This window comes from Homo sapiens, chromosome 8, assembly GCF_000001405.40.
Source record: "Homo sapiens chromosome 8, GRCh38.p14 Primary Assembly".
Taxonomy (NCBI): domain Eukaryota; kingdom Metazoa; phylum Chordata; class Mammalia; order Primates; family Hominidae; genus Homo; species Homo sapiens.
The window spans coordinates 54,865,414-54,886,779 of record NC_000008.11 but is presented as its reverse complement, the minus strand read 5'-3'; the positions used below and the strand labels follow the sequence as shown (position 1 = coordinate 54,886,779).

The following is a 21,366-nucleotide window of genomic DNA, read 5'->3' as shown; positions in this document are numbered from 1 at the left end:
TTTCCATACTTTAGCTATTGTGAGTAGTGCAGTACACATGCGAGAGAATATATCTCTTTAGGATACTAATTTTATTATGTTTAGATATAAACCCAGAAGTGGAATTGCTGGATTCTATGTTAGTTCTATTTTTAATTTTTAAAGAAACCTTCACAACCGTTTGCCATAATGGCTGTACCAATTTACATTCCCACCAACAGTGTACAAGGGTTCCATTTCCTCCACATCCTTATTATTTCTTGTCTCTTTGATTACTCATTCTATCATGTGAGGTGATATCTCCTGGTGGTTTTGACCTGCATTTCTCTGATAATTAGTGACACTGAACACCTTTTCATATACTTGCTGGCATGTATGCCTTCTTTAAAGAAATATCTATTCAGGTTCTTTGCCACCTTTTTAATCAGGTTATTTGGGTTTTATTGTTGTTGCTTGTTTTGTTTTGCTTTTGGATTATATGAGTTTCTTATATATTTTTGATATTAACTCCTTATCAGATATATGGTTTGCATATATTTTCTCCCGTATTTCATAAGCTGCCTTTTCATTTTGTTGACTGTTTGCTGTGCAGATTTTTAGTTATATGTAATCTCACTCACTTTCGCTTTTGTTGCCTATTTTTGTGGTGTCATATCCAAAATCATTGTTAAAATGTCCATAGTATCAAAAGGAATCTACATATCCAATTCAGTCCCTATCAAACTTCCAATAACATTTTTCACAGAAATAGAAAAAAGCAATTCTAAAATTCATATGGAACCACAAAAATCTCTGAATAGCCAAAGCAAACTTGAGAAAGAAGAATAAAGGTGGAGACATCACATTCCCTGATTTTAAACTACAATACAAAGCTATAGTAATCGAACAATATGGTCCTGGCACAAAAACAGACATGTGAACCAATGGAACAAAATAGAGAGCCCAGAAATGAACCTACGCACATACGGTATACTAATTTTCATCAACAGCACCAAGAATACAAAATGAAGAAAGGATAATCTCTTCAATAAATGGTGTTGAGTAAATAGGATATCTACATGCAGAAGAATGAAAGTGGACCCTTGTCTTATAGCATATACAGAATTTAACTGAAATGTATTAGGCTTAAATGTAACATCTGAAACCATAGAACTCCAAGGAAAATAACATAGGCAACCAAATCATCTTTTAACATAAACCGGAGTTTTTCAAGTTGACTGAAAATAATACCTTGTCCTCATCATATGAGACCATAGAGTTTGTTCATCATGAAGACAGTAGAGATAGTAAGTGTTCTCAAGTGGAAAGGTGAATTTATAAAAACAAAGAAGCAAATAAACATTACCAATCTATATATCAACTGTCAGATAAAGCCAGAAGAATACTTTTGACAAATTTAGGGCAAATAGTCTGTATTTTACAGATAGTAATATGACTCTAGCAGGGACTCTGTCCTTGCGGAGGTTCTCTGCTTTCCTTTTTCTTCCCTTTTCACCCAATAAAACCCTGTCTTACTCACCCTTCAAACCATCTGCGAGCTTAAATTTTCATAGCCATGGGACTGACAAGGACCCCATCTTTAGCGGAACTAGGGAAAATTCCTGCAACAATATCATAGTGCAATACAAGTTGAAATGGCTTAACTTAAAAGTTAAATTGAGATTTTTCTTTTTAACTCTGCATGACCGTTCTTTATTTGTATCAGTTTTACAAAGAACATGGCCATGTTTCTTCAATCACCCTACTCTATATAATACTATTGATCCAAATATTTACAAGGCAAACCCAAAGCCAATCTTTTATTAATTTATTTACTTCAACTTTTTTCTTCAACTTTTATTTTAAGTTCCAGAGTACATGTGCAGGATGTTCAGGTTTGTTACATAGATAAATATGTACCACAGTGGTTTGCTGCACAGATCAACACATCACCTAGGTATTAAGCCCAGCATCAATTAGCTATTCTTCCTGAATGCTCTCCCTCCTCCCCAACCCCCCAACAGGCCCCAGTGTGTGTTGTTCCCTCAATGTGTCCATGTGTTCTCATTATTCAGCTCCCAGTTATAAGCAAGAACATGCAGTGTTTGGTTTTCTGTTCCCACGTTAGTTTGCTGAGGATAATGGCCTCCAGATCCATTCATGTCCCTACAAAAGACATGATTTCATTTCATTTTATTACTGCATAGTATTCCATGGTGTATACGTACCATATTTTCTTTATCCAGTCTATTGCTAATGGGCATGTCTTTGCTATTGTGAATAGTGCTGCATGAACATATATGTGCATGTATCTTTATAACAGAATGACTTACATTTGTTCCTTTGGGTATATACCCAGTAATGGGATGGTTCGGTCAAATGGTATTTCTCCAAGGCCAATATTTTGAATACTAAAGATGTATTCAGGGACACTAGACCTGTTGGATGGTACACTTTAAAGGAATAGTAAGAAAGAGAGCTGGATTTTGGAAGACAGGTACGATCTGAAGATAGATGAAAAAGGAAGCACGTGCAGATTGCAGGAGCACTCCCTAGCACACAGAAGGGAGGATGTGCCACACTCAACAAGAGCCAAGTTCATGTTGGCTTCAGGATAAAATGGTTGGAAAATAGCTCAAGATCCCTGAAGAGGAAAAAGGAGTGCCTCAAATAAATGGTTATGCAACAGGTTCTGTGCCCTATGGGAAACCGTGGAGCTTGAATTCCAGGTCCGACAGCCCAGGGTGGGATAAACCGAACAGAGAGCTTAGTCTCTGTGTGCCTCAGTGTTCCATCTTTACTACAGACCTAAGTCTGTGTCTCTTGGATTGTGTGTTAAATGAGATAATTCAGGCAAATGTTTTAGAACAGAGCATAAGAATCTAAATGCCAATAAGTGACAGAGTCTGCTTCAATTTATAAAGAACATGAAACCATTTTCAAACTCTGTTTGTGAACCTATGATTAGTAACAAGGTCCTTGCAGCTCCCATCAGCACCAAGGTTGATGGAGCATGTGTTACACTGTAATTGAGAATCTTAGACCATTCTAGAAAGGGTTCCTCAATCCCGAGTGCACTTCGTGATCACAGGCACAGACTCTGTAAGTCAGAATCTCTGCAAGTAGCTTGGTGTCGCCTCCGTTCAGAGTTCAGGGAGCTCAGAGCATAGCAAGTGACTGGGGCACACACCCCGGTGCGAAGAAGCAGGAGCTCTCATAGGAGGTGACACCACATTCTTTGTGATGCTTATTGAATGAAGGAATGATTGCATGGATACATGAGGCCATATCTAAGGAGTGTGTACTAGGCGATGGCTAAGAAACGTCCTTTGCTGACGCTTCCCCATGGGACCTTTGTGTCTGAGCTGCCAGGGTGTCATGAAGTGGTCATGGGTATCCTACTGACACGGCATTTCCAGACATCATAGCCTGCAAGAGCCAGGGCTGTCTCTGCAGAACTCACACCCACCGGCAGTGACAGTGCATTTCTTCACTGATGACAATCCTTTTGAAGATCCAGACAACATGTGAGTGGTCAGTGTCGGGCCCCTCCAGAGGGAGAAACCCTGCACCAGCAACAGAGCCCCCATCTGCTGGGTTTTGTCCTGCTCTGAGTATGTGGACTGTGGCAGGAGAGTCTTGAGGGGAACTCTAACATTTAGTCAAGAACAACTCTGGAAGAAGTGAGTGACTTATTGTCTGACACAGTATGGAACGTTTCTTGTCTCTTTTTGCACTGCCAGTGATCAAAAGAATTTAGAGCAAAAGCTATTTTAAGCACTGTGGTTAAATTGATACAGCAACTCCTTTCATCAAATTAACTGGGAAACGTTACATGCCTTTGTGCTTAGGCACTCTGCAGCTCTGCTCTTCCTTGAACTTTCTAACATTGTGAAGCTTTGTTTTTCATACTTGTTCCAGGTTCAGGAAAGCACCTTTGGCAAGGACAAAAGTAACACAGCCTGACTTACACGCTTTGCCTTCACCTGTCTCCCCTTCCAAGTGTAGTAAATACACACACACACACACACACACACACACACACAGTGGTAAACTGGAAATCCCCCAAGCTGTACAATTTCCAAACCTCAGGAAACACAATGTAAATGTGCACACGCTGTCAACAGCAACATTTGCAAAAGGGGTAAATGATGTGACAGTGTCAGTCTCACCAACATGTTGCAGTGAAATTCCTAATTCAAAGGTTGCCAGATGTCAGCCTGAGGACCAGTACCTGCCAGATTGCATGAGAGTCACCCAGGGTGCTTCTTGTACATCAACAAACAAACCAACAAAAAGCTTCAGACTCCACCTCCAGAAAGTCTTGTGCATTAAGTCTACAAGAGGAATGGAGGTCTGCATCTTAAATAACTTTTCCAGGTCATTCTTATGTATAAGCACATTTGGAAATAATATCTTGATCAGAGTCATATAGGAAAGAAAACTTAGTCATTTTTGCAGACTCATTTGTAAATGTATTCAGAAGTCGATGACGTGTTTCAGAAGGAATTTTAAAACCTTTTCATATCAGGTCCTGATCACCTGCATTTAGAGACTACATAGAGCAACTAAAAGTTAATCTCCATTTAGTAAAACAAAACAAAAATGCCAGGCGATTAGAAACTAGAAGTCTCAGTTTTAACGGGTGTCTTTGGGCAAAGAATTTTATTTCTTATCATTTCCTTTCCTTTGCACTGGAAATGAAAATAAGAGGTTGGGGAACAAAAGTATAGAGAAAGAGTCTTAAATATAAGTAACCTAAACCACAAAACTCAAGTGCTAATTGAGAGACTGAATTAAACAAAGAGACAATAAGCAGACTGTACATGACAATAGAGTTCTGACCCCCAAACTCTGCAGCAACCAACCCAGGAAGCCAAAACACAACTTCAGTAGCAACGGCCCCCAGCAGTCAAGATGAGATCAACATGATCAGATTCTGTTTTTTGCTCCCATTTGCACCTAAAGATTAACCAGAAAAAGCCAAATATGTACTCCTAACCAGTTACATAGGATGCCCCAGCTAGTTAGCCGCCTCCAGCTTCCCCAGGCCAACAGCCTCATCAAGGCACACCTGGAGCCTTCCCTCTTCTCCACCTTTCCACCCGTCTGCCAGCCTGTGAGTCTCTGCCAAAACACAAGCGATGGTAGCTGACTCCCTTGCTACAGCAAGGTCAGAAAAGATAGCATTTGCTTTTCTCATTTGGATAGCTTTTGTTTATTTCCACATAATCTTCAAAGTAATAAAAAAGTAATAAAACATAACAAGCAAAAGCCCATTACCCTGTTGTTTAAGGACTTCCATCCTAAAACAATGCCCATGCCAGCACACACACTCAAGGCTGGAGTTAAAGGAAGCAGATGAGAGGAGATGGGAGGGGGTCAGTGATTGAGGTCTGTAAGAGAGGGATGGCGTGCAGAAAACACTGCAGGGTGGAGGAAAAAGGAAGTAGGACCCAAGCAGGCTGAGCAAAGTGTTTGAATTAGTTGGAATCCTTTAATTAATTGCAGGAAAGAGTAACTAATGCTGCATTTTTTTTCTTTCTTTTTCTTTCTTTCTTTTTTTTTTTTTTTAAGACAGAAGCTCGCTCTGTCACCCAGGCTGGATTACAGTGGTGAGATCTTGGCTCACTGCAGCCTCCACCTCCTGGGTTCAAGCAATTCTCCCACCTCTGCCTCCTGAGTAGCTGGGATTACAGGTGCACGCCACCACACCCGGCCAATTTTTTATATTTTTTGTAGAAACAGGGTTTCACCATGTTGGCCAGGCTAGTCTCGAACTCCCAACCTCAAATGATCCACCCACCGTGGCCTCCCAAAGTGCTGGGATTACAGGTGTGAGCCACTGCACCCAACCTGAAAATCTTGAGTAACTGTAGGAAGGCAGTTGACAGGACTAGCTTGTGGGTGTGGAGCCAGTGTGGCAGGGTGGGAGGGACCCAGACGGCTCACTTGGCCCAAGGGCAGACACCTCAACAACAAACACTCTGGTTGTGGGGAAGAGGGGACCCTTTGTTGTGTGAGGCAAGAATACTATTTTTTAGTCTCTTGCCATTGAAGATTTAAAGTCCAAGTATTAGCTTTGCTTGGGTCACAAGCCTTGCCCTCAGCCAAAAGGACAAGACAAGAAGAATACAGTCCCTTGCATTAGGAGGAGCTGGTTTTTAAAAAGGAAAGTGGGGGGTTCTTAAGAGTGGGGAATGGGTGCTGGGCAGGCAAAATGCAGTAAACGCTAATAAAGGGCCCGTGGAATTCAATTTGACACATCATCCTCCAGCTATATCACTGAAATAAAAAAGCAGGGTTGGGGAGTGGATTTTTAAGTGTTAGGGAATCTATTGAAATGATTGTGTGATGCTTAAATTTGACCTCTCTCCAACAATCGCCAATTTTATTGTTAAAATTAAAGGAGCCAGTAATCATTAATTCTAACAGGAGATTAGCAGTAAAATAAGTTACACAAGTAATGACAATGGGGAGACTGGTAGCAACATACCTTAGCCAGAAAGCTTACAAAAATGGACACTTTATAAGCCCACCCTGAGTCTTCCTTTCTCTATAGGGTAATCAGTGTAATATTCCTAATAGGTGCTTAATTTCTGGGAGTCAGAATGCATTTTCATGGGGTCCATGTGAGCTAGTTGCCCCTGATGAAACACCGCGTTGAGCTTTGCCAGCCAAATGCCCAGGGTCAGAGCCCTCAGAGGACAGTGGTGAGCACTTTTGGTGTGCTCCAGCCACCACTGCTGGGACTGTCATTTCACCATACATTTCTAACTTCCTAAGTCTTTCTGAGAAGCCTGTCCCTTTCTATTAACTGACAGTGACACGGGGCTAAACAAGAGACTTCACAGATCTTTTTTCTAAGAGTATCTCACTGGACTAACACAGAATCACCAAAACTGCTGGGAGGAAAAAAAGCAAGCAAGATGAATTTCCCAAAATATTTCAATTTTCTCAGCTTTCCTATTAATCTTCATTACTCCTAAATTTTAATTTCCAGTAGCAAAACACAACTTTTTTGTGTCTGTACTGACCCAAGCATTGTGTTCCAGAAAACAAAGATGAATAAGATAAAAAGTCCTGCTCTCAAGAGAAAAATAGACTAATATAACGGGAACAGTTTTGAGCTGTTAATTCCTGACTTCTTTCATTTGTTCCTCCTCCATCTCCTCCTTTCAGGCAGGAGATCAGGCTAGGTCACTCTCTATCCTGATAATTTTGGTAAAGAGGAAGGTTGAGGCTCCCTGAACATCTGTCCCATATGTGCGTTGGTAGTTAAGATACTCCCCATTCATTTTCAATCATTTATTCATTGAACCATTCTTTTTTTAATTTTTAATGTTTGTGAATACACAGTAGGCATATATGTCTATGGGATACTTGAGATGCTTTGATACAGGCATGCAGTGCATTACAATCACATCACAGAAAACGGGGTATCCATCCCCTCAAGCATTTATCCTTTGTGTTACAAACAATTCAATTATACTCTTTTAGTTATTTTTAAATGTACAATTAAATTATTATTGACTATAGTCACCCTATAAATAAATAAGCTACCAAATACTAGGTCTTATTTATTCTATTTTTTTAACCCATCAACTATTTATTGTTAATTTTTTATATAGGTGATAAACTGAGTGATTCAAAACCATCAAATGGCACAAAAAGATTTATTTCTATTCTTGTCTTTCATTCTCCCTATTCCCATCCCTCCTCTACCACAGATAACCTATTTTAAAATTTTTTTCTTGTATGTCTTTCTATATTGTTTTTCTGTTTATTAGATATAATATTAAGACAGAAATTTACATAAAACATATATGATGATAAACCAAATGTGGTCTATCCATACAATGGAATGTTATTCAGCCTTAGAAAGGAAGGAAATTCTCAACCATGCTACAACATGGATGAACCTTGAAGACATTATGCTTAATGAAAAAAGTCACATGCAAAAGAACAAATACTGCATGATTCCATTTATATGAAATGTCCAGAATTAGGCAAATTAATAAAACAGAAAGTAGATCAGAGGTTACCAGGGGCTACAGGAAACAGGGGAGTGGGTAGACATTGTTCAATAGCCACAAAGCATTTGTTTGGGATGATGATAAGATTCTGGAGATGGATGGTGGTGATGGTTACACAACACTGTGAATGGACTTAATGCCACTAAATTGTACACCTAAAAATGGCTACAATGCTAACTTCTATGTTACGTATATTTCACCACAAAAACACCTATGAAAGCATAAAGAATAATTATAAAATCAACACTCATGTAGCCATCAAAAAAAAGGTCAAATAAGGAACACTGTCAATTGCCTGGAAGGCCCGCCATGGGCCACAGCCTTCTCTCGCAGGCACCACCATCTTCTTTACCTTTTTGGTAATAACTGTTGGGCCTTTAAAAATAGTTTAATATATAATATATGTGTAAGAAAATATCATCTGTGAAATTTTTGCCTCCTTTTGACTTTTATATAAACGTAAATACACTCATATATTTGTGTTACTGGCTTATTTTATTCAACATTATACAATTATGATTTATTATGAAATCTATCCATGTTATTGATGTATCTGTATTTCATTCAATTTTATGACTGTTTTATGGGCCAACACATACCCAATTTTTATGATGTTACTTATATATCTGAAAGGAATGTGCATTGGCATTTGTCAGATGCAGAGTTTTACACATCCCTATTATGGCCTTTGTTAATCATGTCATTTAAATCTTCTATATTTTTAATACTTTTTTTCTTCCTTATTTTCCCAATTACCAAGAGAAGTACATATTTAAAATCTTCTTATACTATTATGTATGTAAAACAGGATGTATCTATTTTTACTTGTATGTATGCTTATTTTTGCATTATGTCATTTGAGCCTATATTACTAGTAACATTAATTTAAAATTATGTAATATCTTCCCGATGGATTAAACCTTTTCACCACACTTACACTTGTTTGAAAATTTTATTCTGTTCTTATTCTTTCAGTGGTTACCCTAGAAATTCAAACAAGCATACTAAATCAAATACCTCCATCCTCCTTTTAGATCATCCAGGGGCTTTAGAATACAGTGCTTCACTTACCCTCACCCAACTCACAGACTTATGTGTTATTTGTTGTTTCCTGTTTCAACTTTATCTCATGTTATTTTTAACAATATTTCAATGCAGCCAATGTTATCTTAGACGTGTCTACATATTTTCCACTTCCCATGATCATCATTCCTTCTTGCATCTCAGCCTTTCCATCCAGAGTCACTTTCTTCCCGCCCGAAGTACATGCTTTAGAATGTCCTTTAGTGAGGGACTAATAGCAAACTCTATCAGTTTGCTATTAAAAATTTTTGTGTCTATGCTTGAAAGTATCTTCATTTAGGCCAGGCGCGGTGGCTCAGTAATCCCAGCACTTTGGGAGGCTGAGGCAGGTGGATCACCTGAGGTCGGGGGTTCGAGACCAGCCTGACCAACATGGAGAAACCCTGTCTCTACTAAACATACAAAATTAGCTGGGCATGGTGGTGCATGCCTGTAATCCCAGCTACTCAGGAAGGCTGAGGCAGGAGAATCGCTTGAACTCGGGAGGCAGAGGTTTTGGTGAACCGAGATCGCGCCATTGCACTCCAGCCTGGGCAACAAGAGCGAAACTCCGTCTCAAAAAAAAAAAAGAAAGAAAGAAAAAGAAAATATCTTCATTTTGGGTCTCATTCTGGAAATATATTTTCCTTGGCTAGAAAATTTTAGGTTATTTTCATAATTTTTCAGTACCCTGAAGGTATTACTCCATTCCCTGGTTTTCTTTGTTGATCTTGTACATTCTGCTTCTTTGAAGGTAACTAGCTTTTCTCTCAGGCTGTTTGTTAAATATTCTGTACGTTTTTGATACTCAACAATTTTACTACATTGGCTCTGGATGTGGATATTTTTAATTGAATCCAGTTTGAAATGTATTGATCACCTGGAAATTGAAGAATCTGTGAAATGATATATTTCAACACTTCTGGAAACTTCTCCATCATACATATCATTTATTTATCTTTCTCTGCTACATTCTAGAAAATTCCTTCTAGTTTATATTCCAGTGAACAAATTTTCTTTTCAACTGAGCCTAATTTGCGTTAAACACATAAACCTAGATTTAAATTTTAAGTATTCTATTTTTTAATTTCCATAAGTCCCGTTTGGTTGTTTTTCTTTTCAATATGCTAGATTAATTTCATAGTTTTTTACAGCAGAAGATATTTTTTAACCTGTTGAAGTAGTGCTACAGATGTTTTTATCATCTATATTGACATTTCCAATATCCAAAGGCTGTGTCAGATATGTGTTATTTCTGCAGATACTTATTACTGTTTTTTTGTTTTTATTTAAGGCTTAGCTTTGTTTTTACTGTGTACTGTTCCTTTTCCTTGGCAAATTATTTGTGGGAACTCTTTAACGATTAACGACCTCAAAGACACATTCCCTACTCCACCTTCCTCTACACAGTTTCCGCCTAATCTCAACCCTCCTCTCCATCAGGCTCCAGGCACACATCTTTTCCAGCTGTTATCAATTAAAATATAGCTTTTGTACCTCCCGATAGGCCGCACTACCTTGGGAAGTGGACTTCTGCTGGCACTTTCTGAGATTTGCCACTGCTTGGCCCTTTAGCTTTTGTCTGTGTCAGTGGCTTTTGCAGGCCACACACTGTGTACCCGGGAGTTTGCAGGTGTTCACTAAGTCCTGCTTTCACTGAAATTGGAGACCATAGTGTGTCCAGAATTGGTAGGTTCTTGGTCTCACTGACTTAAAGAATAAAGCCATGGACCCTTGCAGTGAGTGTTACAGTTCTTAAAGATGGTGTGCCCGGAGTTTCTAACTTCTGGTGTGTTTGTGGTCTCACTGACTTCAGGAGTGAAGCTGCAGACCTTCATGGTGTTACAGCTCATAAAGGCAGCGCAGACACAAAGAGTGAACAGCAGCAAGATTGATTGCAAAGAGCAAAAGAATAAACCTTCCACAGCATGTAAGGGGACCCCAACGGGTTGCCATGCTGGCTCAGGTGGCCTGCTTTTATTCCCTTATCTGGCCCCACCCACATCCTGCTGATGGGTCCATTTTACAGAGAGCTGATTGGTCCGTTTTACAGAGAGCTGATTGGTCCGTTTTGACAGAATTCTGATTGGTGCATTTACAAGCATTTAGGAAGACACAGAGTGCTGATTGGTGCGTTTACAATCCTTTAGCTAGACACAAAAGTTCTCCAAGTCCCCTACCCAATTAGCAAGACACAGAGCACTAATTGGGGCATTTACAAACCTTCAGCTAGACACAGAGTGCTCATTGGTGCCTTCACAAACCTTTAGCTAGACAGAAAAGTTCTCCAGGTCCCCATCCGACCCAGAAGCCCAACTGGTGGGCGGGACTTTGCGGCACCTAGCCTGGGCATGCCTGCAGCCCAGAGGGAGCTCATCTCCTAATCCAGCCCAGCAGGCCCTTGCAGGCCATGGAGTGCGGGCCTGCCCAGCCCGCGCCCACCCGGAACCGCCACCGCCTGCGAGCGCCCGGCGGGCTCCCGCCGGCGCCTCTCCCTCCACACCTCCCAGCGAGCAGAGGGAGCCGGCTCCGGCCTCGGCCAGCCCCAGAGAGGGGGACCCCACAGGGCAGCGGCTGGCTGGAGAGCTCCTCCAGAGCGGCCAGAGCGGACCCCGAGGCCTAGGAGACGCTGAGAGCGAGGGAGGGCTGCTAGCACATTGTCACCTCTCAATAGGTTTTCCATTCTCTTTATTAATTTGAATAACAACAGAAGGGGAAAGTTCTTTTGTCTGCCCTCATCATGTTCATACTAGAAACAACGTCCAGTCTTCTATAAAAATCTAAACACTTTAAAAAAAACCAATAACTTGTATTAGTTGTACTGATACAGGAGGAAAAACGGAGAGGGCTTTTGAGAAGCAACAGGGAAAAGAAAAGAGATTTTTATCGGCCAGAAAAAAAGAGGTCTGTGAGCCCCACAGCTGCGGGATCCCCGTGAGATATCTTGTCTTGAGTAAGGAGAGACCTGGAGAAGATGCACCCTTCCTCTTAGGGGAGGGCTGCAGAGCAGCCTAGAAAGGAGTGTCCTGAGGCACTTGGGTTCTCAGTCATGACAAAAAGTCTAGTACTGTGTGAGTGGTCCAGAGAGAAAACAGACTGTGGCAGGGACAATGATAGACTTGGAAGAAAAGCATTTTTCTCTCTAAACAGAGTATAAGCTTCTAGGATTCTCTTGCCCCTTAGAAAGGAGAATGTGCCTCAATTATGCTTGAAAATGAGGTGCACGCCTGTAATCCCAGCTACTTGAGAGGCTAGGCAGGAGAATCGCTTGAATCCCGGAGGCTGAGGTTGCAGTTGAGCCGAGATCGCGCCACTGCACTCCAGGCAGCCTGGGCAACAAGAGCGAAACCGAAACTCGGTCTCAAAAAAAAAAAAAAAAAGAAAAGAACAGGAATTTTCTACGAATCTGTGTGACAGAGATTAGGAGCTGAACATTAAGCTGACATACAGAAAACAAAAGAAGTAATATTTGTCACACTTCTGAGTTTGTGAACTGAGATACATGACCACTATGTAAAATGCTAATTATAGTAAGAGGAGAAGGACAGGGTAATATGGAAACACAGAGGATGGGGGAGCCTTAGTTTTGACTGATTCAAAGAACATCAAGCATGGTCTTAGAAAATGAATAGGAATTTTCCAGGCAAGAAGGGAAGGCCCTTCCAAGCAAAGAAACCAACATGGGCAAAGGCCTAGGGAATGGTGTGTTTGTAAAGTTTCAATCAACTGATGTGAATAAGCTTGCAAATATTAATGTTGCCCCTATAATCAAGTAATTGATATATTTATAAGCTTAGTAATCAGTTTAATTGGTACTCTTTAGTCATCCTCATAGAGGCCTGGAAACAGAGGCCCAAGGAAGTTGATGCTACATTCTTAGGGCTTCACACCCTTTGTGGTAGAGAATCAAGATTAATTTCAGAACCCAGGGATCTTTTTCTAGTATACTCTATCCCACTGCCTGAAAGAATGAAAAGGAACCTCCATTTAGAAAACATTAGCTTACCTGGATGTGGAGGAGGGCCTACTTTGCAGTGTTTGTTTCTTCGCTTCTAAAAATAACTTAAAATATAACTGTTCAAAAGTATTATCAGCCCCGATGACTTGCAGGATAAACCTAACTCTGGTGGGCTTTCTGGAGAGCCTCTCTCCTTATTAAAGAACAATTAGCTTAGCTGTCCAAGACATTATTTTACCCACAGCCACAAAGAAGCTACATCATCCTTTGCTATAACAAACACATAACTTAAATCTGCTTGCGAAGTTTATATGAAAACACTTTAGCACCTGAAGGCCATCCATATCATCATTGCACCATCATGATAACTTGCTGGTTAAAATAGAGGATGCATCCATCAGATAAAAGTGTTCTTTGCTCCATCTTGCTTTTAACCCAGATACAAGCAAACCCATGAAGACACAGGAGTTGTGCTAGGCAATTGTCGTGCTCCATGAAATGGGCCACATTTTGTTTTCTGGTCTTTGTTTTTGCACTTGTCTACCACTCACCAGCATTTTTAAAGGATATGCATGTCAGGTTTATGGATGAGGGTTTTACATCATTCACTCCACAAGAAAAAACAAACGACATGACCAAAATGCCTCTTTTCACCCAACCTTTAAGAATCTATTTGCTGCCTTTGTGCTATGCACTGTCAATAATTTTTTGCTGTCTCTGAAAACCTAGAAATAAATATAGCTTCACTGTTAGTTTTCCAGTTTTCAAGGAATAGCTATTATGTAAGGAGTTTGGACTGAGACAGTCCCAGAATGTGGACAATGTCTAAGAAATGAGCACTATAAGGATAAAATAAACAAGAATCCACATAAAATGGATCCAATTGGTATTTACATCACCTCCCCCCTCAAGAGAAGAATTGTAAATGTTCTGTTGGATAGAATTAGGAAATAGACAACTCCAATCTGAACTGTGGCAGGGTGGGGAGAAAGGGGCAGGATTACGTTTGGAATAAAACTGTATTGTTGCATCAAAGTTTGTAAAAATAGAGGCACTGAGTGTAATTATCTGTGAATACTTATTCTGCACAAATATAAACTGAATTGGGAATCATTTAATATTTCAATCTCTAATAAGGTGTATTGTGTGGTAAGGCAAGAATGATTCATGTATTTAATAGACACAGAGCACTGACTATAAGCAGGCAGTATGCCAAGGACTGAATATACAAAGCTGAGCACAAGATCTCTCTCCTTCCATAGGGCCTGCAAGTTAGCAGAGAGCACCTGGTATGCCAAGAACTGAATATACAAAGCTGAGCACAAGATCTCTCTCCCTCCGCAGGGCCTGAGAGTTTGGAGGGCGCCTCGGCTCTGTTTGCAGAACGCACATTATTCACTCAGGTCCCTGCTAGAACACTGGCCCCTCAGAGGGCAGGGAAAATGACTATGCTGTTTGCCAGTTTATTCCCAGTGTCTGGGAGATGCTTCACAAGCTTCTGCTTAGTAAATGAGTGTGTTTGTTCAGTATCCGCTTTGGGCAGGGCACCATGAAATAAATGTCATCAAGGGCAAGAAGTGATTCTCCAAGCTTCTGTGCAGCCTGGAGTGGTCCCCCTTATCCTTGGGGGATATGTTCCAAAACCCCTGGTGGATATCTGAAACCATGGATAGTATTGTACCCTATTTATATTATGCACAAATTTCTTTTTCTGTCTTTACAATTTAACAGATATTTGTTCTTACTATAAGTCTTAGCAAACTTAGCATTCAACTTATTTTCTTTCCTTATTAAGACAAGGACTTTCACCTTTTCACTTAAAGGAAGCACTTTTCAGCTTCTCTTTGGCATATCCGAATTGCTAGAGTCACTACTCTTGCACTTTGGGGTCATTATTAGGTAAAATAAGGGTGACAAACACAAGTGCTGCAATACTAGGACTAAGTGATTCATGGATACTCGGGACAAAGAGAATATTCACATCCTGGATGGGACAGGGCAGGATGGCATGAGATTACATCACACTGATTAGAATGGCATGCAACTGAAAATGAATGAATTGTTTATTTCTGACATTTTCCATTTAATATTTTCAGACTGTGGTTGACTTCTGGTAACTGAAACCTCAGAAAGCAAAACCACCAATAAGGGAGAACTATTGTACTTATTTTTCTTACCTGTAATATGGTCTGCTGGACACTTTAGAAAAAAAAAAGGCTGTTTTTAACTTCAAATCACTGAAGCCGTATTCTTGATGTATTTTCATCCTCAGATGTAAAAATATACCATTTCTAAGGAATGGATTAGTTCTTGGTCATGGGTTAGTAAAAGGGAAACCATTATAACAACAGCATCTACTTACTGAACATTATTTACTAATAATGATCTGCCAGGCCAGAGTTAAGTTCTACACACACATACACACATGCACACACACACACACACATATACACACACACCGTAATGGTGAAATGTGCCGACTACTAGATATTTATAAAATAATTTTAGGTAGTATATAGACTAACCTAAAATTTTTGTTAGACATAGATTTATTTTAATGTGTTTTAGGAAAAAATGTAATGACATATTAAATCAGTGATTTCATGGATATTTGGAATATGATTTAGGATGAGGCCAAGCTCTCTTCACCTCTAAATACACTGATTTAGACACAGTTCAAGGAAGAAAATATCAAGCATATACTAGTACAGGTACTATTGCAGACGACAAAAATCATGAAGGTGGTATGCAAGATTTGCCTCCTTGGCCCCTCTGCCTGATTTCATGGGATACTAAAAACAAGCAGGGAAGGCAGGAGGGCCAAGGTCACAGTGTGGACGCGCACGGGCTCTGAAGTCAGACTTCTAGGGTCACATCCCGGCTCTCCTGCTTGTTCCACTCTCTAAGCTTGGGCAGGTCACTTGGCTTTTCCATGTGTCGGTTTCCTCATCTGCAAAATGTGGGTGATGATAGCATCTACCTCACGGGGCAAAATAGAGATTCAAAGACAGGTGTCTTTGATATCAAAAGCTACATCCTGACCTCTCCGGGGCTGGCAAATGAGTTTTAGCTTATGTGCCAAATTAACGGATTAGAAGAAGGCACCTGTGGCACCAAGTTGACAAGTATTTGAGGCTTCATGAGAAAAAGTGACCGATGGATGTGAGATATCTGCCCTGCGCTCTGCTGCTCTCTGCCTGCAGGACTCTGTCACCAGCTCGAAGCTCAAACTGCAAGTGGACCCACAGGACGTGCACTGGGAACACACAGTAACCCAATTGGTTGGGTTCTTTCTACATTTTCTTATTGATTTTACCACTAATTCTGAGAGAGACATACCATTGTCTAACAATAAAACTTCCACTTTAAAATTAACATAGGTTGCATAAAAGTGTTTTTCATGCATCAAATGTTATTAGGTACCTCTTCAGTTATTTTCTACAAAGAATACTTATTTAGACATTTCAGTAACCTTAGCAGTAAGTCAGATTTTCTGAAAGAAAAAGGAAAAGAAAGAAGGGAGAGGAGGGAGGGGAAGAGTGGGGAGGAAGGGAAAGAAAAGGTGAAGGAAGAGGAGGGGGAGGAGGTGAGCAGCAGCAGTATGGGTACCCCAGATACCAGGGGCTGATCTTGGTCAGCTGTTGGCGGAGGCTGTCAGTGCATCCTCCCAATTTTGGAAGTTCTCAGAAACAATGAGTGGGTCCAACACAAACTGACCCTCCCCAGGTGTTTGCTCCAGCCCAAGCAAAAGACAAATGCACTATCACAATCAGATCAATAGCCTTTTGAAGCATATTGGAGCGACAGGCCCAAGTGGGCCCTTTCAGGAGATGGTAGACCCAGTCTCTCCTACTGCACTGGGACTACTTTCTGCGAGCAATTCCCGCTGGGTCTTGCCATCATCTTGGTACTCATCTAGCCATCTGCCATGCAAAAAAAAGAAGATAATTAATATGAGAGAGCATTGAAAGGAGGCTCATTAGTTAGAAAGGAAAAAAAAACATATGGAAAGAATTTAAAGAGGCCTTTAGAGAGATCAGAATTTTAAAAAAGGATTTAAGATTTTAAGCCACACCAGATTATTTAGCAGTCCAGCTTCGGCAAGTTTTTTCCTACACTCAAATTGCAAAGTCATATTGGTTCACTCTAAAATTTTGGCTTTTAGAAAAGTCCTCTGGTAACATTACAAATATTCTAACATAGTCAAAATTTCTCACTTGGAGTTTCCTTAGTGGTAGCTGTTATTTTCTCCTGTCATGTGACTGGCAGGTATACACAGTGGCTAAACCCTCAGACTCTAGGACAGCACTCTTCAAGAGAACTAGAATACAAACCATATATGGAAAGAAGTAAAAAGAAGGTAAAATTAATATTTTGAATTTTCATAAATTCAAAAGATTATTATTTCAACATGTAATCAGTATAAAAATTGTATCACATTCTTTTTTATTCTCCACTCTTGAAATCTGGAATGTATCTTATACCTACATTGGAAGAGCCACAGTTCAGTAGACATATGTGGCTTGTGGCTCCCATGTGAGACAGTACAGTTCTAGAGTCAAATATATTTTGATCTGAATCCTGACTCCACCAATTATTAATATATTCAGGCAAAAAATTTACTATCTTTATATTTCAAAGACAATTTCCTTGTCTTTGAAATATAAATATCACAGAGTCTACCTGTAGGCTGGCTGTGGGGATCAAATGAGTATCTGTGTGCAGTTCTGGCTTTACCATGAAGCCTATTCCTTGGAAAGCATTCAGTAAATGCTAGTGATGGATATTCTTCTGATTTTTCTCTACAGCAATACAACAGATGGGTGCAGAAATCTTAGAGGCTCCCACAACACAAAATGTAACCCCTCTATATCTTGGTTATTTTGAAACTCCACAAATAAAGTTATAAATAACCTCCTTCTCGGAGACCTTTTCTTTTCCCATAATTAGAAGGGGACTTGCATTTAAGTACTTGATAATCTATACTGCGGAAGACAGTAAAGCTTATGTCATCTAAATGCTCCAAACACTCCAGAAAGTAGAACTTTCTGACAAAACAATTTTATAGTAAACTTGATATCTTGTGCAGGGAATTCTTCAGTAGAAGATAATTCACAAAATCATAGTTATATCATAGAAACAACAGATTGATAGACACTAAATTAAAACTTTCCAGAGGGCCAAGGAACCAAGAGCCCCTGCTTTCTGACTAATGGGTCTGAGGTGTGCATGCCATTAATCTCATTAGGTCACAGTTTGCCCATCTGTCAAACAAACCATGAAACTAAATGTTATCTATGGTTTCTTCCACTTCTGATGGAATAGCAAGATAATTTTTTAATACTTATTTAACCCTGGGTCCTCAGAGAGAAAAGGCAAGGAAAACAGTTTATATTGCTATAGTTAATGATAACAGTGCAATGATACACCAGTGTGCATATCATTCCATATGATAGTATGATACAATAAACCATCTTAAATATTTTCATCTGCGTCATTTTGTTTCTGTAAGTCCAATTTCTAGGGTTTGTGATTATTCTAAAATGTAGAAATAAGTCACTTTCATGATTTCTACTCCTCTGCATTGCCAGTAAAATTAATTTTGGCTTGGAAGAGAATGTGACCATTATCACCTGCCCTGGATGCCTTTTGACTTTGCTAAATGTGGCACTTCTAGAAAAATAATAATCTTATATTTACTACTTACATTATTTCATTGGTACCATCACATTCAGAGCAATAAACTACACTGTAAAATATTAAACACAGCTTCATATGATACCAAATATCTAGATGTGATATAAAACCAAATGTTGTATATATACTGGCCAATATGGTAGTCACTAACCATCTGTGTCTATTCAGCACTAGAAATGTAGCTAGTACAACCAAGCAACTGAATTTTTATTTGATTTGATTTTATTAATTTAAATTTAATTAGCCATATGTGACTAGTGGCTACCATATTGGACTGTGCAGATACAATATTTAAAAAGTAAAACTTAGTCAATTATTTGAGAGTTCTAAATACTAGACACATGATCTAGAAACAAAGGTGTGTTTTCTCCCTTCATTTGCATGTGTAGTATCATGTCTAAAAATTTCTTTAAAATTGTTTCTGTGACAATAACATTTACCATCATGGAGCCTCTAATAATTGCAGGACACTTTTGTAGGTACTTTATATACATTGTCTGAAATCCTCAAACAACCCTGCAAAATAGGTGTCATTACTGCCATTTTACATAAGAATAAACTGAGGCTCCCAGAGCTAGTAAGTAATGCCATTATAATCCAAATCTGGTGCTAAAAAACTTCAATCTTTGCCCCTTCTATTCCCTATTCACTAAGATTTCTTTCAAAAATAAAAATACAAGGTCTCTTCCTAGAGCTTGAATTTCATAAAATGGCAATAGCTACTACTACATGCACTTTAAATGGAAGTGCATTGAGAAAAGAAACAAACAGATGATCAGAGAAGTGCTACACATTTTGTTCATACAAAATTCAACTCCTTATTAAGTTTCAAAGGAATGACTATTTCCTAGAATCGAAACTATAGTAAGGTAAAATCCAGTCAGTCAACCAATGTGCATCTCTGCATATCTGAAGAGTGTCCCTCACTTTAGGGAATAGTGATGCTGAGCCACCTACTAAATTCAGAGCACACTCAGCTCTCCAGCTTCATGTAGCGTTACATCTCTCCTCCCTTATTGAGCATCAATTGGAAGTTCTTTGAAGACAAGAACTCTACTTTTTTATCTCTAAATCTCTAGGATTTGGTATAGTACCTAACACCTAGCAGGCAGGCAATATTTTTTCATAAATAAATGGATGGATAAATTAACATATTAAATGGATGGATAAATTAATATATACAATGCATGAGTTCTCTAGATTCAAGGAACATGCAATCACATAGACATAGCACCTTGACACCCAGGTCTTCACAGCATATATAAGCCTCTCTCATTGCCCTCATGTCGTTAACATTTCCCATGTTCCCATGTGGGGACCATAGGTCCTTGCCGACAGAAACTGGATTGCCTTATTGATGGATCTCCATTATCTATCCCACTTCTTGATATGGTGGGTGGTCAATTACTACTTGCATAATGACTGATCAAATGGATCAACATATTCTGTAGATTGGTTAATAATGGAGGGAACTTAACTACATAATTTCTATGTTTAGTGCATTTTGTTTTAAGGTGCATTTGATATTCTACTTATTATAACTCTATAAAGTAGGTAGAGAAGATTTAATCATTCTCATAAAACTTTGAAACTGAGAATCAGAAGTTTAAGAGATTCACCTATGACCACCCGGCCAAGGAATTACAGTTACCCTTGCCACTTAAGTCTCCTGTTATATTACATCTACGCCACTTTAGTACAATGCATTAGAGTTCACAGTTCACATATATAACATCATTTGAGTTTAAATGATTCAAATGAACTAGGGGAAGCAGGTATTATTGCCATCTTCCATATGAGGACATTGAACCTCAGAGAAGTTAAGAGTGGTACCCAAGTTCACAGTACTAGCAGGGAGCTTAGCATGTGTTTTAGAAACAGAAAGAAGAACCTGTTTTCTAAGTCCTAATCCAATTTCTTTCCATTTCACCATACTTTTTTCAGAAGAGAAAAATGTTAGAGATTACAAAAGAAGAGAGAATTACTAGTGCTGATAAAGGACAGCTTCTTGAGGAGAGAAGGCCTTCAGCTCTGGTTTTCAGGGAGGGAATGATGTTGTCCAACAGCTGGGATGAGGCATGCTGGAGGACACAGGTGGAATAAATTGGACAAAGAGAGCATAATTTTGCATAATAATGCATTAAGAGCATACCTGTTGCATAGAAACAGCACCTCTTCACTGCTGTCTTCATCTTCAGACTTAACAACAATACTCCCAAGAAACCATCCATTACCTGTGTCAGTTGACAAAGGAGATTTATTTAACTCTTTAGCTTAAAAATACCAGCATTGTGATTTTATTCATAGGTCCTCCAAATGTTCCTTTTTAAGTACACATGTCAAGGTACAAAAATATGCACATGCAAATTATGCCCGTAGAGAAATGAAAATGTGAGTGAGCAACCTAATTACTCAGAGTACTAGAAGCAGAGGACAAGAGAAGATAGGGACCCAAACTCTCTATAAAATTAAAAAAAAATTATTTAAAAACACATGAGCCAAGAATAAAGAGAGAAGTAAATTCACATAAATGCATTTCAGTTATGTTAAGTCATAGAAGATTTATAAGTTTAAATAGTAATGGAAAGTCACAATCAATCATCATTCTTAATAGTGAAAATTTAGAAGTTATTGATTACTGTACTTGTCAATACA

At 39.2% G+C, this 21,366-nt stretch overlaps 1 protein-coding gene across 6 annotated transcripts in view, besides 2 other annotated features; it reads right to left on the bottom strand.

The window, feature by feature from the left end:
• Positions 3,221–4,004: an enhancer, noted in NCBI's record as "H3K27ac-H3K4me1 hESC enhancer chr8:55795336-55796119 (GRCh37/hg19 assembly coordinates)". NCBI's record gives its function as "activates a minimal SCP1, AML or CMV promoter by ChIP-STARR-seq in primed H9 embryonic stem cells {active_cell/tissue: H9 hESC(primed)}" and the evidence as "EXISTENCE:reporter gene assay evidence [ECO:0000049][PMID:30033119]".
• Positions 11,002–11,584: an enhancer, noted in NCBI's record as "H3K27ac-H3K4me1 hESC enhancer chr8:55787756-55788338 (GRCh37/hg19 assembly coordinates)". NCBI's record gives its function as "activates a minimal SCP1, AML or CMV promoter by ChIP-STARR-seq in naive H9 embryonic stem cells {active_cell/tissue: H9 hESC(naive)}" and the evidence as "EXISTENCE:reporter gene assay evidence [ECO:0000049][PMID:30033119]".
• Positions 15,546–21,366, bottom strand: part of RP1 (RP1 axonemal microtubule associated) — a 312,050-nt gene continuing 306,229 nt past the window's right edge. For all 6 annotated transcript variants that reach the window (XM_047422069.1, XM_047422070.1, XM_047422071.1 and 3 more), the window contains 2 exons: positions 20,864–20,945; positions 15,546–16,937 (listed from right to left, as the gene is read on the bottom strand). In XM_047422069.1, coding sequence (XP_047278025.1) covers positions 16,838–16,937; positions 20,864–20,945 — 182 coding nt within the window. In that variant the 3' untranslated portion in view covers positions 15,546–16,837. The remainder of the gene's footprint in view (positions 16,938–20,863; positions 20,946–21,366) is intronic.